General features: G+C 40.4%; 1 protein-coding gene across 5 annotated transcripts in view, besides 1 other annotated feature; it reads right to left on the bottom strand.

Annotated features, from left to right (window-relative positions):
• NPL (N-acetylneuraminate pyruvate lyase) overlaps window positions 1,613–15,140 on the bottom strand; it is a 40,612-nt gene continuing 27,084 nt past the window's right edge. For 2 of the 5 annotated variants that reach the window (NM_030769.3, NM_001200050.2), the window contains 5 exons: window positions 13,308–13,456; window positions 13,138–13,184; window positions 9,798–9,882; window positions 6,177–6,216; window positions 1,613–3,273 (listed from right to left, as the gene is read on the bottom strand). In NM_030769.3, the coding sequence (NP_110396.1) occupies window positions 3,089–3,273; window positions 6,177–6,216; window positions 9,798–9,882; window positions 13,138–13,184; window positions 13,308–13,456 (506 nt within the window). In that variant the 3' untranslated portion in view covers window positions 1,613–3,088. The remainder of the gene's footprint in view (window positions 3,274–6,176; window positions 6,217–9,797; window positions 9,883–13,137; window positions 13,185–13,307; window positions 13,457–15,140) is intronic. The other 3 variants (NM_001200056.2, NM_001200052.2, NM_001200051.2) reach the window with 3 other exon arrangements.
• Window positions 2,275–2,424: an enhancer, noted in NCBI's record as "active region_2208". NCBI's record gives its function as "activates an Ori minimal core promoter by ATAC-STARR-seq in GM12878 lymphoblastoid cells {active_cell/tissue: GM12878}" and the evidence as "EXISTENCE:reporter gene assay evidence [ECO:0000049][PMID:35858748]".

The following is a 15,140-nucleotide window of genomic DNA, read 5'->3' as shown; positions in this document are numbered from 1 at the left end:
AACTTAACATGCTAAAATGTATTATGTATCAAACAATTTCCTAAGAGTCACCAAGGGGAGACTCTTAGGAGAAACTACGATTTGGGTTTTTTTGTCCACCCAGATAGCCATTTCTCAGCCCCAGAAACAAAGTGTGAGGTAGTGCTCTGCCTCTACCTGGGGCTTAGCTCTGCTATTTGCATAATTTTGGTTCCAAGTTTCCCTCTTACTTCCACTGGAGGAAACTGAGGGTTGAGTCAGCATGTGATAAGGAAATGGTTAAATGGCTTGGATGTGTTGTTTCCTCTACTTGATTTGATGGGTTTGTAGATCCCACTCCATTTCCTCTGTATGAAAAAGCCTTGGTGAGCCCAGGTGGGTACCTAAACTTGGGTTGCAGTCACTCTGCAAAGCCCCTCAACCCAGCCTTAGACATCAGCCTCCTAAGAGTTTGGATTTTCCGTGCCCTTCAGGTGATCAGAAAGAAGAAATTTCTCTCAAGTTGTGGCAAATACCCTTTCTAGGAAAGAATATACATTACTCCCACTGCCCCCCAACCCTACTTGCACCTCACCCCCATGGCATTTTCCTACATCTTTCAATAAACCCAAGAGAGATGTTCTATTTTTTTTTGAGACGGAGTCTTGCTCTGTTGCCCAGGCTGGAGTGCAGTGGTGCGATCTCGGCTCACTGCAAGCTCCACTTCCCGGGTTCACGCCATTCTCCTGCCTCAGCCTCCCGGACTACAGGCGCCCGCCACCATGCCCGGTTAATTTTTTGTATTTTTAGTAGAGTCGGGGTTTCACTGTGTTAGCCAGGATGGTCTTGATCTCCTGACCTCATGATCCACCCGCCTAGGCCTCCCAAAGTGCTGGGATTACAGGCGTGAGCCACCGCACCTGGCAAGAGAGATCTTAAGTAAAACCAATTCCTAAAATCACTCCTGTCCCTCCAACCATCCCCAGTGGACTGATCTCAGATTTCTATCTTGAAACAAAGAGGTTGGAAATCAGCTTTTACTACTGTGTTGAATGAAATATTTCACATGCCATTACTGTAGTTTTAATGTTAAAAACAATTTAGGAATAGATTATAAACAAAACGGTAAGTTCATAGTATTCCAAAATTTTACTTAAGTGCACTATTAATAGCCTACTGCTATATGATATTCATTTCTTTTCTCTTCTTTTTTTTTTTTTTTTTTTTTTTTTTGAGACAGAGTCTCGCTCCGTCACCAGGCTAGAGTGCAGTGGTGCGATCTTGGCTCACTGCAACCTCCGCTTCCCGGGCTCAAGCGATTCTCCTGCCTCAGCCTCCTGAGTAGCTGGGACTACAGGCGTGCGCCACTACACCCAGCTAATTTTTGTATTTTTAGTAGAGATGGGTTTCACCATGTTGGTCAGGCTGGTCTCGATCTCGTGACCTCGTGATCTGCCTGCCTCGGCCTCCCAAAGTGCTGGTATTACAGGCATGAGCCACGGCACCCGGCCATGATATTCATTTCTAAGCTACTGGATGTTAACAGAGCTAAACTCAGACCTGGTCATTTTAAAATCATATTTCTCTTTATGTTCACAAAAGCTCACTCACCATCTTAAAAATCCTCTAAGCATTGACTTCACAAAAGCAAAAATAGAAAAATAGTTCTTTGTTTATTGGATACCCAAGAATTAATTTTAGAATTTAAATTTGGCTTTAGTATCAGTAAGTACGGATATCACATCCTCAGAACCAAAAACGAACAACTCATTTTCTTCTTTCAGGAAATTAAAAGCTACAAAGGCAAAAAGAGGGTTGAGGATATATGAATATAACAACTTTTAACTAGCTGACTAATTAAAGAGAGGATTAGCAAAGATAATTGAAGTCTACTTATAATTTCAAATTTCCATTTTGAAAAAGTTTTATTTTTAATTCAAAGAGATTAAAATAAGGAGCAAAACTGATATGAATTTCAAATACTCTTTCTCTGCCAATGATCAAAACAATTAGAGATGAAATGAAAACAAAATCTTAGGTAATTAACAGACTGGATAGTCAAGTTTAAAATCAGTAAGGGTTAACTGTCAATATACTTTGATATCAGAAAGCTTATATCAAGGTTTGTTAGAAGGGAGATTAAACAGTTGTTGATACATTACACAGAAAGAAAAGAGTAAAAGGAGGTATGGAGAGAAAGTTCTGAGTCCTTTGGGTCCTCCCCAAATCTTCTATCACTAAACAAAAGTCACTAGTTGCAAGTGTGACAGGATAATAACATTAGCCCCTGGGCTCACTGCAGAAAGGAAGTCAGCCTTCGATTTCAATAATTCAGGGTCCTGCGGGAGAGACAGTCTTCTCAGTGGAGGAAGGGGAAGTTTGTGGTGCCCAGAGGAAGAGTCCTTTGGTTCTTTGAAACTTTGAGTTTTGAGTTTTCTGTATAGAAAAAAGTGGAGACTTAAATTCATCTTTGGGGAAGACTTTTTCCTTTGTTATGAGAAAGCCGCCCTTTACTTAGTTATAGGAACTGAAACAAGTCCTCACCTGACCCAGTGTTTTTAAAGAGCGAAAAGTGGTGACATCGAAATGAATTCAAAAGCATCCATTCTAGAGTTAGACTGAGCAGCCAAATGAGCTGGTGTATTTTGAGTTGTATACAGTTGAGACATGTTACAGTTTGGTATTAAAGTGCCTGCCTAAATGCAGTAGCTCAGAGTTTTCCTAGATTCCAAATGAATATTTATTAAAATGAAGACATATTATAGTGGTTTAAAATTAGACAACTTTAAAATAGGATTAGGAACCAGAGACCGAGATAATGAGAGCTCCTAAAGACAGATGGAATTAATCAATTACAATTTTCCTCTTGATTCCATTTCATCCATATAAACAGAAATTTCTCCACAAAAAAATCTGTGAAATGAATGACTGAGAGTTGTGACTCCTAGAGTTTTTGCCCCTTCACAAAATAAGACTTTTTAAGGCTCACAAAAGGTACCTCAATGCTTATTGTGAGATTTCATTTGCTAGGAGAGTTTATTCAAGTTCATCTAAAATTCCCTGAGAAAAAAATGCACTATTTAAGGTAGATTATGTCTCAAGGTGCAAACCCTGATTTGATAGAGAGGCACTAGCTACCAGCTTCCAAGTTTCCATCCTTTAAATCAGTGAAAGAAAGGAAATCCAGGCTCTTCAGTTTAGCTTCAGCACTATCAGTAAACTCCCTGGAGGCTTTCTGCAGTGGAAGCCGGGGTGGGCCCATTGGAATCCCAGAGACCAGAGTCATGATGGCTTTGGTCTGTGACACTCCAAAACCTAGACGGGAAAAACAAATGAGGAAACATGACTGGTACCGTCTATCTCTCCACAAAAATCCCAAAGAAGGAGATCATATGCTAACAGCAACTACTACAACAGGGTAAGATTAAAACAAAAGATGGGAACATTTCTAGTCAATATGACAGATGAGCAATCATTCGAAATCCCTCTTCCTGCTTCAAACACAGAACGCTGGAAAATTTTAAAAGTTGATCACAGTAAAAGAAAACAAAGACTCAAGGTTAATCTTAAACCCAAGAAGGAGAAGCCAAAGGTGTCAGGAATAAAGAGGTCAGAAGGGTGAGGAGAAGCTGATGCCAAACAGCCCTTGAGGATAATCTGATTTAGGAATATACTATTGTTGATCAAAGGAGGTAGGACTTTATTGCCAGCATGAAATTTAGTTTAAGCTTATTTAGGAAGTCCCTAAGAAATGCAGTACTTAAGGTGGCTTATGACTCAACGCTGCTGTTTTCATGCTGGTGTTATACGGCTGGGATGGGAATGGAAAATGAAGCCTTAGATCTATGCATGGTGAGAAGCTGGAATTAAACTACCTATGTAAAACTGGTAGTCAGCCTTCTGTAAAAAGCAATAGAAAAAAACCCAGCCCACTGGTCTGGGGATAAAGAAGAAAGCTTGACTTCTACTAGGCTTGTGGATGGAAACAGATCTCATGAAAGAAATCTCAAGCCTGAGCCAAAGGTGAATGGTGGATCTCAATGTATGTCACACACTTAGTATAGGTACTATACTAAAAAATTAACCGAAAGACTGGTTAGAACTGGTGGAACTACAGTGTCCTAGCAGAGGCAAATGTAAACTCACTTGATAGGGCACCTTACAACCTAATGTTCAATGGGTTACCCAGAAAACAACAGTCTCTGAACATGAGCTCAAAGCTAAAAATTACAAAACCCATGAGGAAAAGCAGCAGCAGGAGAACCAGCACATTCAAAAATGACAAAACTTACATCCTGAGAGTAGATGACAGAAAATTCTGAAAGAGACTTCTCAGAGATAAAAGAAGGAATAGAAGCCATAGGCTAAGAGAAGTAAAGAACAGTAGAGTATAAAACAACAAGAAATACTGAAAAAAATATATATATTTAGGGAAATCAAACAGTAAAAACATAGCTAAAGAAAGAATTAGTGATTTTCAAGGTAGATCTAAGGAAATAATCCAGAATACAGCATAGAAAGATATGTTAAATGTTTTTTAAAATTGAGATACAGATTGAGAAAATCCAAAATACAACTAATAGACTTTCAGAATGAGAGATTTGAGTAAATGTAGTCAAAACATTCTTTACAGATAACAGAGAATTTTTTCAGAACTAAAGAAAGACAAAGCCTTCAGATTGGAGAGGCAAATGGAAGATCAGGTACACTGTTAATATGTAAAAAGCATAACTAATAATTATCCATCATAATCCCCAATCCCCATCTTCTAAAATGTCTGTAATTTGTTTTCTTAGCTGGCTATTGCGTTCAGATTCAAGATAGAAGAACTAACTTTCTTTTGCTAAGTTAACTTAGTTGCAGTAAAAACTGAGCATTGGGAGGGAAAATATTAGCATGATCGAATATACAGTAGGTCTCCCTTGTCTGCAGTTTCACTTTCCATGGTTTCAGTTACCTGTGGTCAACTGCAGTCCAAAAATAATAAGGTATTTTGAGAGACAGACAGAGAGACTGACCATAGTTATATAACTTTTATTGCAGTATATTGTTATAATTGTTCTATTTTATTATTAGTTACTGTTTATCTCTTACTATGCCTAATTTATAAATTAAACTTTACCATAGGTATGCATGTACAGGAAAAAACATAGTATATATAGGGTTTCGTATTATCTGCAATTTCAGGCATCCACTGGTCATCTTGGAACATATCCCCCTGAGATAAGGGGGGACTACTACACACATCAAGCTTTTAGTTTGTCTAAAATTTTAACAGTTCAATACCTATTTTAATGTATTTTAGGAACATAATAATTATCACACCAAACCCACAATTTTGTGAAACCATTGCTTAGAAAAATGGAACAATAATAGGTAGTTCATAGCACTGGCAGCACACAAATGTGCAAAAATCACGAAAGTGGAAAAACAAACAGAAACGTCCTTGAAGGAGTAAGAGAGTGGGTTGAGAACCCTGCAAGAATGAGGGGCATAACACAGAAGAGGTGCTTGGGGGAGAGGGAGGAGTTGTCAGAATTATGCAGGACTCTGACAGGGAGCAGGGAGGTCTACCAAAAATAAACTTAAAAATTTTCCTGCATTAACGCAGATTCAATTGGCCCAAGGGCCAATCTCTTGCAGAAGAGTGGATAGTGGCATTTGTCATTTGTTATAGAAGATTTAAGAGACTCTGGAGCGGTTTCTCTACTCAAATTCACTGTATTTCTCCCCACGACTGCTCCCCAATTTTACTTTGTCATATTATCCAAACCTCCATCCATTTAGGCTTACTTGTGTTAATAAACTCTGTTTAAATTGTAAATACTCTTGGGAGAGCTGTCAGTCATTCACAATTTAGTAAAATCTGTATTTAGACTGCCTTCCTCCAAGCACTTAGGCTGAAATCAACCTCAATGCAGTAGTAGAATTTTAATGAGCTGAAGCAAGTAAAGGGAGGGAGTGCTGATGGTTTAGGAGAGAAAGAATGGAAAATGGGGTAGGCATGTGCTAAAATGGAGAAGGTTGCCAAAGATTTTCCAACTAGGTTTACTTCACAGTTTTATATGGTTGGCCCCGAGGGTTAATAAGGGAAACAGAACTCTGCTTGCAACAGACCATTAAAAAGTGTTCTTGTTGAACCCTCAGAGAAAGTGATGGTATTCCATTTTCTTTACAGTCTCCAGCAGCAGACAAAGCAGAAGATGGGTGGCACTTACCTAGTTTGACAACAAAGTTGATAAATCTCTGGATACAAAACTAGAAAAGAACAACATATCTATAGTTAGTATTATTGAACTGTGTAAACAATGTAAATAATGTAGAAGTCAAATTACAGAAACCCTAAAAAGTCTGCACACCTTCATTTACTGAAGGTCTGTCAGAGTGGAGAAAAATAGCCAAGTGAAGATGGCTGGGATCCATCCAGGCTAAGGTAAGATCTTTTCATACATGTAGGCTTTACAAAATGGGCCCGTGCAGAAAAGAAGCTTCAATGATGGAATTCTACAAGAGAGTAAAGATGGGAATCACACCCCTTATCCATCTGGCTTACATAGGTAAACTTATCAGCTAGTGCAGTGGTTTTCAAACTCAGGTGCATATAAGCTCTGGGGCACCTTCCAGGATGCCTAAGGAGCACATGGCTAAGGCTAAGATTTATGGGAATCAATTTCTAGATCCTCAACTTCCATAAGTGCTGTTTTCTAAAATTGATCAGCATAAGAATCTGCATGAAATGGAGGTGCAGGTTGTTCTTTTCTGTTTCCCCTTGCACAGTCTTTTCTACTTTTGAAAAAAAATAAAGACAGCCTTCTATATCACTGCCTTGGGATACAAATCAAAATATCAGTATTGGTATTGATAAAGAGAGGGACAGTGATTCTTCTAATTAATAGGTAATAAGTCCTCTCAAAAATCAGAGGTTTTTCAATGATTTCCTTTCTACACTGCTACTCAGGTTTCAGCTGAAAATCATTAAAGCATTCTGTGATTTTGGCATATGACTCAAAAAATGTTCAAAGAACTGGGTGACACTGCTATAACAAAATTCCTTCCATTATTATCTAACTTACATGAACACAGTTTTGTAGCACTTACTTCTCTAAAAACAAAAATAGTATTGATGCTGAACCTCAACTTATCCTAGCATTAAGTAATATTCATCCACGGATTCCAGACAAACTGATTTTTTAAAAAAGAGCCTCATGCATCTTTTAATTTTTATTTTATTATTATGTTTTTGAGACAGAGTCTCGCTCTGTCACCCAGGCTGGAGTGCGGTGGCATGATCTCGCCTCACTGCAAGCTCTGCCTCCCAGGTTCATGCCATTCTCCTGCCTCACCCTCCCAAGTAGCTGGGACTACAGGCGCCCGCCACCACGCCCGGCTAATTTTTTGTATTTTTAGTAGAGACGGGGTTTTGCCACGTTAGCCATGATGGTCTCAATCTCCTGACCTCATGATCCGCCCACCTCAGCCTCCCAAAGTGCTGGGATTACAGGCGTGAGCCACCGTGCCCGGCCTTAGAACCTCATGCATCTTATTAAGAGATGCATTTTCAATAACATTTTATATTTAAAAGTATTTTTCAAAATGCTTAACATATTTGTTTTAACTGACTGTATACTAGAAATAAAATGTAGAATAAAATTTTAATACCCAGAGACTTACAAACATATATGTTCTACCCCATGAACAATATAGCACATTACATTTACTATCTTATATTTTGCTGCTTTTTTCCATTTAACATAGCATGTAGATCTTTCCAGGTCAGAATACATAAAGCTATCTCATTTTAAGAGCTATATATAATTCAATTGCATAATAAAATGTATTTAACCATTGCCTTATGGATGAATATTTGGGCTGTTTTTATCTTTTGCTGTTACAAACAAAGCTGCAAGGAATATCTTTGTACATGTGTAATTTCACTCATGTAAATATAACAGATGGCACTTAAGTACATTAAAGTGAATGAGATAAATTTAGCCCTAACTTTTTGTCTGCTTCTTCACTTGACTACAAGCTCTTTAAGAGCAGAAACCACCTTTACTGAAATTATGTACTGAGTAAATAAGACTCACTCACACGTGCTTTCTTAAGAAGAAACAGAGAATGTGGTAAAATAAGTTCCTTACCAACATTGTTTTCAATGGGATGATTTATTTGAAACAGAGAGTGGTAAACTAAGTTCCTTACCAACATTGTTTTCAATGGGATGATTTATTTAGAGTGGGACTAAGAGGGGAAAAAAGATGGAGACTAGATTAACCAATAAGAGAAGTCACTGAATGGAAGGGTCAGCATTATAGCTGCTTCAGTCTACTCCATCTATGATTTCCATGTTCTGCTCAGAACAGGTTAGAATTTTCAGAAATAACCTTTTCTAGGAAACTGGGCAGGGTGGAGAGAACCATCAATGCAAGGAGATGGCAGAGTCTGCACAATTCATTCTTCTCACCCTTATCTAAACCAAAGTCTTGTCGATGTTTAGTTTATTTGGCACAGCTTCCTAGATCCCTACCCTGTTCCTGTTCTTAGCTTCACTTGGTCTGAGGACAAAGGCGAATATTACATATGGTATTTAAACTTTAAGGAGGAAGTAGATTTATGATGGCTCAACTTTGAGGCCTACGGGTAGGGAATAAACCACTCTGGATTCTGCTTCTTCATGTTGTCTTTGGGTTGGGGCTGCAGGTCACTTCCTTTAACCCCCAGGATACTTTGTACTTCTGATCTGTAATCTCTGATTACCCTGATGGCAGCCTGTCCTGTTCAGAAAGATCCCACAGCCAAGCTTTATTAGGACCAACCATTTGCTCCAATCTTGCTTCTGTCTTTCCATTCCCACTTATTTTCTTGGGATACTCCTCTCAACCACTTATACTATCCTGAAAATCCTCACGCCTCTCAGACCCCAAAAGTCTTGCTCTCATATCCACCCTACTTTCTTCCAATTCATTCCATTTACACTTTAGAACCATGGGTTAGAACCAGATGTTAGCTGGGCATGGTGGCGCATGCCTGTAGTCCCAGCTACTCAGGAGGCTGAGGCGGGAGGACTGCTTGAGCCCAGGAGGATTCAAGGCTGCAGTGAGCTATGATCACATCGCTGCACTCCAGCCTGGGCAACAGAGCAAGACCCTATCTCTAAATAAAAGACAACCAGTTGTTGAGACTGTTCCACCCTTCACTGAGGCTCTTCTTTCCCTGATGGCTAGGCTGTCCTCCATGGAACATTCACAGCAGCCACTATGTCCTCTGGGGTCTTCCGTGCAACATATCAGCTTCTGCTGGTTTTTCCTTCCTGTCTCAAATCCTGTATCTACTTTGGATCACCCACTAGGCTCTTATTTCCTTCCTGGTGGATGTTCCTAGTTCTCAGCACATTTCCAGGGTGGACAAGACTGACCTGCCCTGACTTTGAATGAAGCCTTCCCCATTTTAGGTTACCATCTTCATAGCTTCCTCATATTCTGTGATAACTCTGATGTGATGTCCTCAAGGGGACAGCCTGTGGTCATTTTCCCAGAAATCTATGACCATTTTATTATAGTCACAAAAGTACTTTGAAGATAGAGTAAAAATAAGATCCTTTCTAGGAGGAAGAGAGGAGCCATCCCTGTATGGGTCCTGTCCTGATTAGACATGTCGGGAACACAGACAATGGGGACAGCTTTGGTTTTAAACAAGAAAAAGTACAAAACAGAAGAAAGGTAAAGAAAGAAGTGGCTGGGCAATTTTAATGAGGGCAGGCATGGTAGAGAGAAGAAAAAGAATCCTCAAGTGGGGAAGAAAAAAGGCTGTGATTTATGGGAAGAGAAGAAAACGTTTACCTGATAGTTCAGGGCTAAAGAGAAGTCCTTTTGTTCAAAAGCCTCCAACATCTGGTTTGTCTTTTTTCCCAGGTAGTTATAGGTACTGGCAAGACAATAACAAATACTGCAGGTTCAATAACTCAACAGGAAAGGTCCAGATCTTCAAATCCCTCTGCTGTTTAAAAGGGAAAAAATACACCTAGTCCTCCTAAAGTCTGTTTTTGAATCCTAATCTATTAGGGGACAAGACTGTCTTCAGTTCTGAGTTTTCCAGCAATACTGAGCAGTACTGCAGAGAAGGAAGACAGGCAAAAGGGGATAAAGGAAGAAAATCAGAAAAAAGATAAAAAAGATGGAGGTGTATTTGTTAGGAAGCGACTGAGGCCAGCTCTTGCCCTAGGGTACACACAGGTGCAATGCTAGACAAGAACTGTGGATAAAAGGTAGCATCTGAGGTGAGTCCTAAAAGCCTTATGCTGAAAAACTGGGTGGATGGAGCACCATGAAAATAGGGGCAAATCCCAATAAATTACCTATATTCCTTGCTAATGTGTATATTACTTAAAGACTAGTTTCTAGATAGTAATATTAATAATGATGATAATAAAATGAGGGATCATTTACTAAGTGCCTATTATATTATAGGTGCTTGACATAAATCATGTCTAATCCTTGTAAAACCCTGCAAGGTAGGCCTGGTTTTTATTTTGATTAAAGAAGGGCTTCAGGGTTTCCATGAAAGCTTTCCATTGCTTCATGTTGTCTTCTATAACAATTCAACAAAAATGAAGGTGAGAATTTGATCTGACAAAATATTTTTGTGGACTTAAAAAACTCTCCAACTCTACCTATAAAGATAAATATCTTAAATAAGTCACTGAATTCTTAGAGAAACCAGCAAGGTAGAAGGTTATAGAAACTCATAATAAGGATATTTCCCCAAGTTCTTTAAATTCAAATGGCTTCTCTCATAGTAAGTCGGTATCAGAAAAAGTATTTATCTTGATGTACCACTAACAGAAATGTTGTTGGACTTGTATATATAGAACTGGGGTCAACAGCAAGGGATTCCAGGAATGTGAAGCTCATGTTATCTTGTGGCAATAGAGCAAGGAAGAACAATGTCTGAGGAGTTTCAGAATACTAACATTTGAATCCCAATGGTCTTAGGTGTATCCCTGGTTAGACAGAAAGGTGATTATAACTAGGGAGAAACGAAGTCTAACCAAATGTACTTTGCTTATAGATTATGTTGACAGAATTAAAATGCCTAGTATGGAGGACAAAAAGCAGGAGCCAAAAAAGAAAGAATTTCCAGGCGGAAAAAGGTTTAATGGTGATATGGTTTGGATCTATGTCCCTGCCTAAATCTCAGGTTGAAATGTAATCCCCAGTGCTGGAGGTGGGGCTGGTGGGAGGTGATTGGATTACAGGGGCAGTTTCTCATGGTTTAACACATCCTCCTTTGTGCTGTTGTCGCGATAGTGAGTTCTCGTGAGATCCAGTTATTTAAAAGCGTGTGGCACCTCACTTCCTCTCCCTCCTGCTCTGGCCATGTAAGATGTGCCTGCTTAGCCTTCCGCCATGATTGAAAGTTTCCTTCAGAAGCCAAGCACACGCTGCCATGCTTCCTGTACAGCCTGCAGAACTGTGAGCCAATTAAACTTCTTTTCTTATAAATTTCTCAGATATTTCTTTATAGCGATGTGAGAATGAATTAATACATATGGTCAACAAATACACATTCAAATTTCCTCAGTAGAAATACCCCTGAAGTTACAATGGCTGTCATAGGCCATCTTGGCTTGGTGAACAAGCCATTTATATTATTCAACTCAGTCACTCTTCCTCACAGCCAGGCTCACCAAGACATGTTATAAATGTTATTTTGCTCCCCTGGTACCTTTCAGTTAATGCAAAAATTTCATTCAATCTGCTTGGAAGCATATTCTTATGAATCAGGTTAACATGTGCAGTGGACATGCTAATTGAATTGCCTGTCTTTTGCTAAGTAGGCATTGGGCCACATGCTTCTGGTTGGACCTGACATGGACACTTGCCTAGGTAGTGCTATCTAATGATGTCCCGAGATGCCACGCTTGGGCAGCCATGACTGGCCATGTGCATGCTAAAGCAGAGAAAGCCCATCTGGATACAGAGAGAGAGAAGAGAAATAAAGAGATGTGCAGAAAGATGTGGAGGTGAGTCTCTCCAAAAAACCACATATAGAAGATAATCTGCCTTGGCTATTGAGATTCTGCAGTTCTTGGCTTTCATCTTCTCTGAGGCCTGGTTGTACATCCTCCTCTTAGGTTCTATGTGATTTCCCAGTATTTTATAATAACATATCTTCTTGTACATAAGCTAGTTCAAATGGGTTTCTGTTACTTGTAACCAAATAAGTTCTGACAAAGATAGAACTCACAAAGTGTGAGTCCATCCTTGAGACACTGGTCACCAGAGTCTATAGCACTAAGGGTCAGCTCCTGCTAAGGTGTAGGCCCTGTGCATGTGCTCAATTCATGTGGTCATGTGTCTCACCCGTAACTGCAACAGATGCTTCTAAACAATGACTGAATTTTTCTTTTTCTTTTTCTTTTTTTTTTTGAGATGGAGTCTCACTCTGTCACCCAGGCTGGAGTACAGTGGCTTGATCTTGGCTCACTGCCACCTCTGTCTCCTGGGTTCAGGTGATTCTCATGCCTCAGCCTCCCGAGTAGCTGGGATTACAGGTGCCTGCCACCACGCCTGGCTAATTTTTTTTTTTTTTTGAGATGGAGTTTCACTCTTGTTGCCCGGGCTAGAGTGCAGTGGTGCGATCTCAGCTCACTGCAACCTCCGCCTTCCGGTTTCAAGCGATTCTCCTGCCTCAGCCTCCCAAGTAGCTGGGATTACAGGCGCCCGCCACCATGCCCAGCTAATTTTTGTATTTTTAGTAGAGACAGGGTTTCACCAAGCTGGTCTCAAACTGCTGATCTCGTGATCCACCCGCCTTGGCCTCCCAAAGTGTTGGGATTACAGGCGTGAGCCACTGTGCCCGGCCCATTTCTTTACATTTTTAGTAGAGATGGGGTTTCACCATGTTGGCCAGGCTGGTTTTGAACTCCTGACCTCAAGTGATCTGCCCACCTTGGCCTCCCAAAGTGCTGGGATTACAGGCTGAGCCACCATGCCCAGTCCAATGACTGAATTTCTAACAAACAGCTAAGCAGTATTTAATTCCCTTTCACTGGAAGAATGTGGAAAAGAAAGGAAACTTCTATTAGAAAGGATACACATGCAAGAAATACAGCTACTTTGGTGATGAATGCCTTTATGGGGGACTTTATAACCACTGGGAAAAATGAGTCATGCTTACCTGCCCACTGCTCCAGTTGCTCCCATCACCAGAGCACTCAACAGTTGCTAATCAGAAACAAAAAATATTCACTTGTATAAAAAAGAGAAAGAGAAGAGATGCTACTATATAGCTACACAAATTGTTTTGGAGGGAACTGACCTGCTGCAACATGCTAGGGGGTGACTTACCTCATCCACCCCAAAAAGGAAAGCAAACTGTTGCTGGCGATTCTGATCAACACATTGCCCGAAGTCTAAGAGATCTGTATCACTGAATTTCAGCCCTTGGAAGGTGGGGATCTTATCCAGAATCCCATCCAACAACTCCTCAGCACGAACTGCTCAAAATAATAAGTGCCTCATTAATCTGCACATCTCTAGGAAATAACATCTCATATAGTGTCATGCATCTGCAGTGAGCTGCCACACGCTGCTGTCAGCCAGAACTGACTGCAGACTAGGCATAATCACTGGTCCCTGACTAGCAGCTCCTATGTGCTTGTCCAATTATAATGCTAAACTTCCCATTCCTTGAAGGCAGTAGATGGATATTTGTGAAGTGTAAATATATATTTGGTCTCAGTCCCTGGTTCCTGAGACAAAGTACCCAAAACCTTGTAGACAGGGGTGCTAGGAGAATATTTTATTCTAATACTTGGTCTTTGACCCTGATTCCTGACACAGAGCTCCCAAGACCTTTGTAATTTCCTGAGAGATAGAAGCATCTGACACAAATCTCCTAAATCCCTTGGAATCTTCAAAGTGATATGTATATTTCTGTATGCTATGAAGTTCACTGATGGCTAGATCACCTAGATTGCCTCAGGATGAGGGCTGGTTGCCAGGGGAACCAACCATGTACTTAGAGGGGTGGAACTTTCAGTCACACCCTTGGCCTCTGGGGAGGAAAGCCGGGCTAAAGATTGAGCTGATCACCCATGGCCAATGAGGTACTCAATCATGCCTATATAATGAAGTCTCCATAGAAACTTAAAAGGACAGGGCTTCTGGGTTGCTGAATACGTGAAGGTGCCTGGAGGATGGCTTGTTCAGAGAGGGCGTGAAACTCCATGCCCCTTCTCACATATCTTACCCTATGCATCTCTTCTTCTCTGGTTGTTTATCTGTTTCCTTTGTAACAAATGGGCAATAGTAAGTAAAGTGTTTGAGTTCTGTAAACTGCTGTAGCACATTAATTGAACCCAAGGAGGAGGTAATTGGAACCCTGATTTATAGCCAGCTGGTGGGAAGTACAGGCCACAACCTGGGACTTGAGACTGGCACTGAAGTGGGGGCAGTCCTGTGGGACTAAGCCCTTAACCTGTGGGATCCAGTGCTAACTCCAGTAGACAGTGTCAGAACTGAATCCAATTAGAGGACACCCAGTTCGTCTCTGATGAAGAATTGGTTGTTGGTGGGGAGAAATGCCCACACACATTTTGGTGGCCAGAGGTAAAATGTTTTGCGTTGAGTTTGCTAAGTATGAGAGTAGAGAATAGGAAAAGCAGTTTTGTTTCGTTTTTTTCCTCAGAATGTTTATAAAGTACAGCCTCCATTTTTCCTCTTATGGAATTTAGAAAAGAGTGGGATTTTAAAAATAATCTAAGAAATTTCAGCTAATTGTAAAACTCTTCTCTCGGAGAAATACAGTAATAATAAAAGAAAAGCTAGAAGAGAAGTCAGAAGAGATCAGAGGACTTTCCTATGTGCTACAGGCACTAAGAATACAACAGGTTCAAGGTAGATACACTCCTGTCCTAGTGAGGCTTACAGACTCATGTCTTCTCAATAAGAAGAAGGGGTGTGTGTGTGATAGAGATGAAAGGTATGTGCTACAAGTGCCCAGAGATCAAATTTCCTTTCATACCTAACAACTTCCATTATACGGCAGTGTGAATGATTGATAAGGGCTGGGACTTTAGAGTGACATTTAGAAACAACTGGAACTGCCCAGTCAGTGGTGGTGTGCTTTTGGGGCATGGGGTAGGGTGGGATGGAGTGGAGTTTCTTAGCATAATAGGG

Source organism: Homo sapiens, chromosome 1, assembly GCF_000001405.40.
Source record: "Homo sapiens chromosome 1, GRCh38.p14 Primary Assembly".
Classification (NCBI taxonomy): Eukaryota; Metazoa; Chordata; class Mammalia; order Primates; family Hominidae; genus Homo; species Homo sapiens.
The sequence above is the reverse complement of the archived record's forward strand: the minus strand, read 5'-3'. Positions and strand labels throughout refer to the sequence as shown.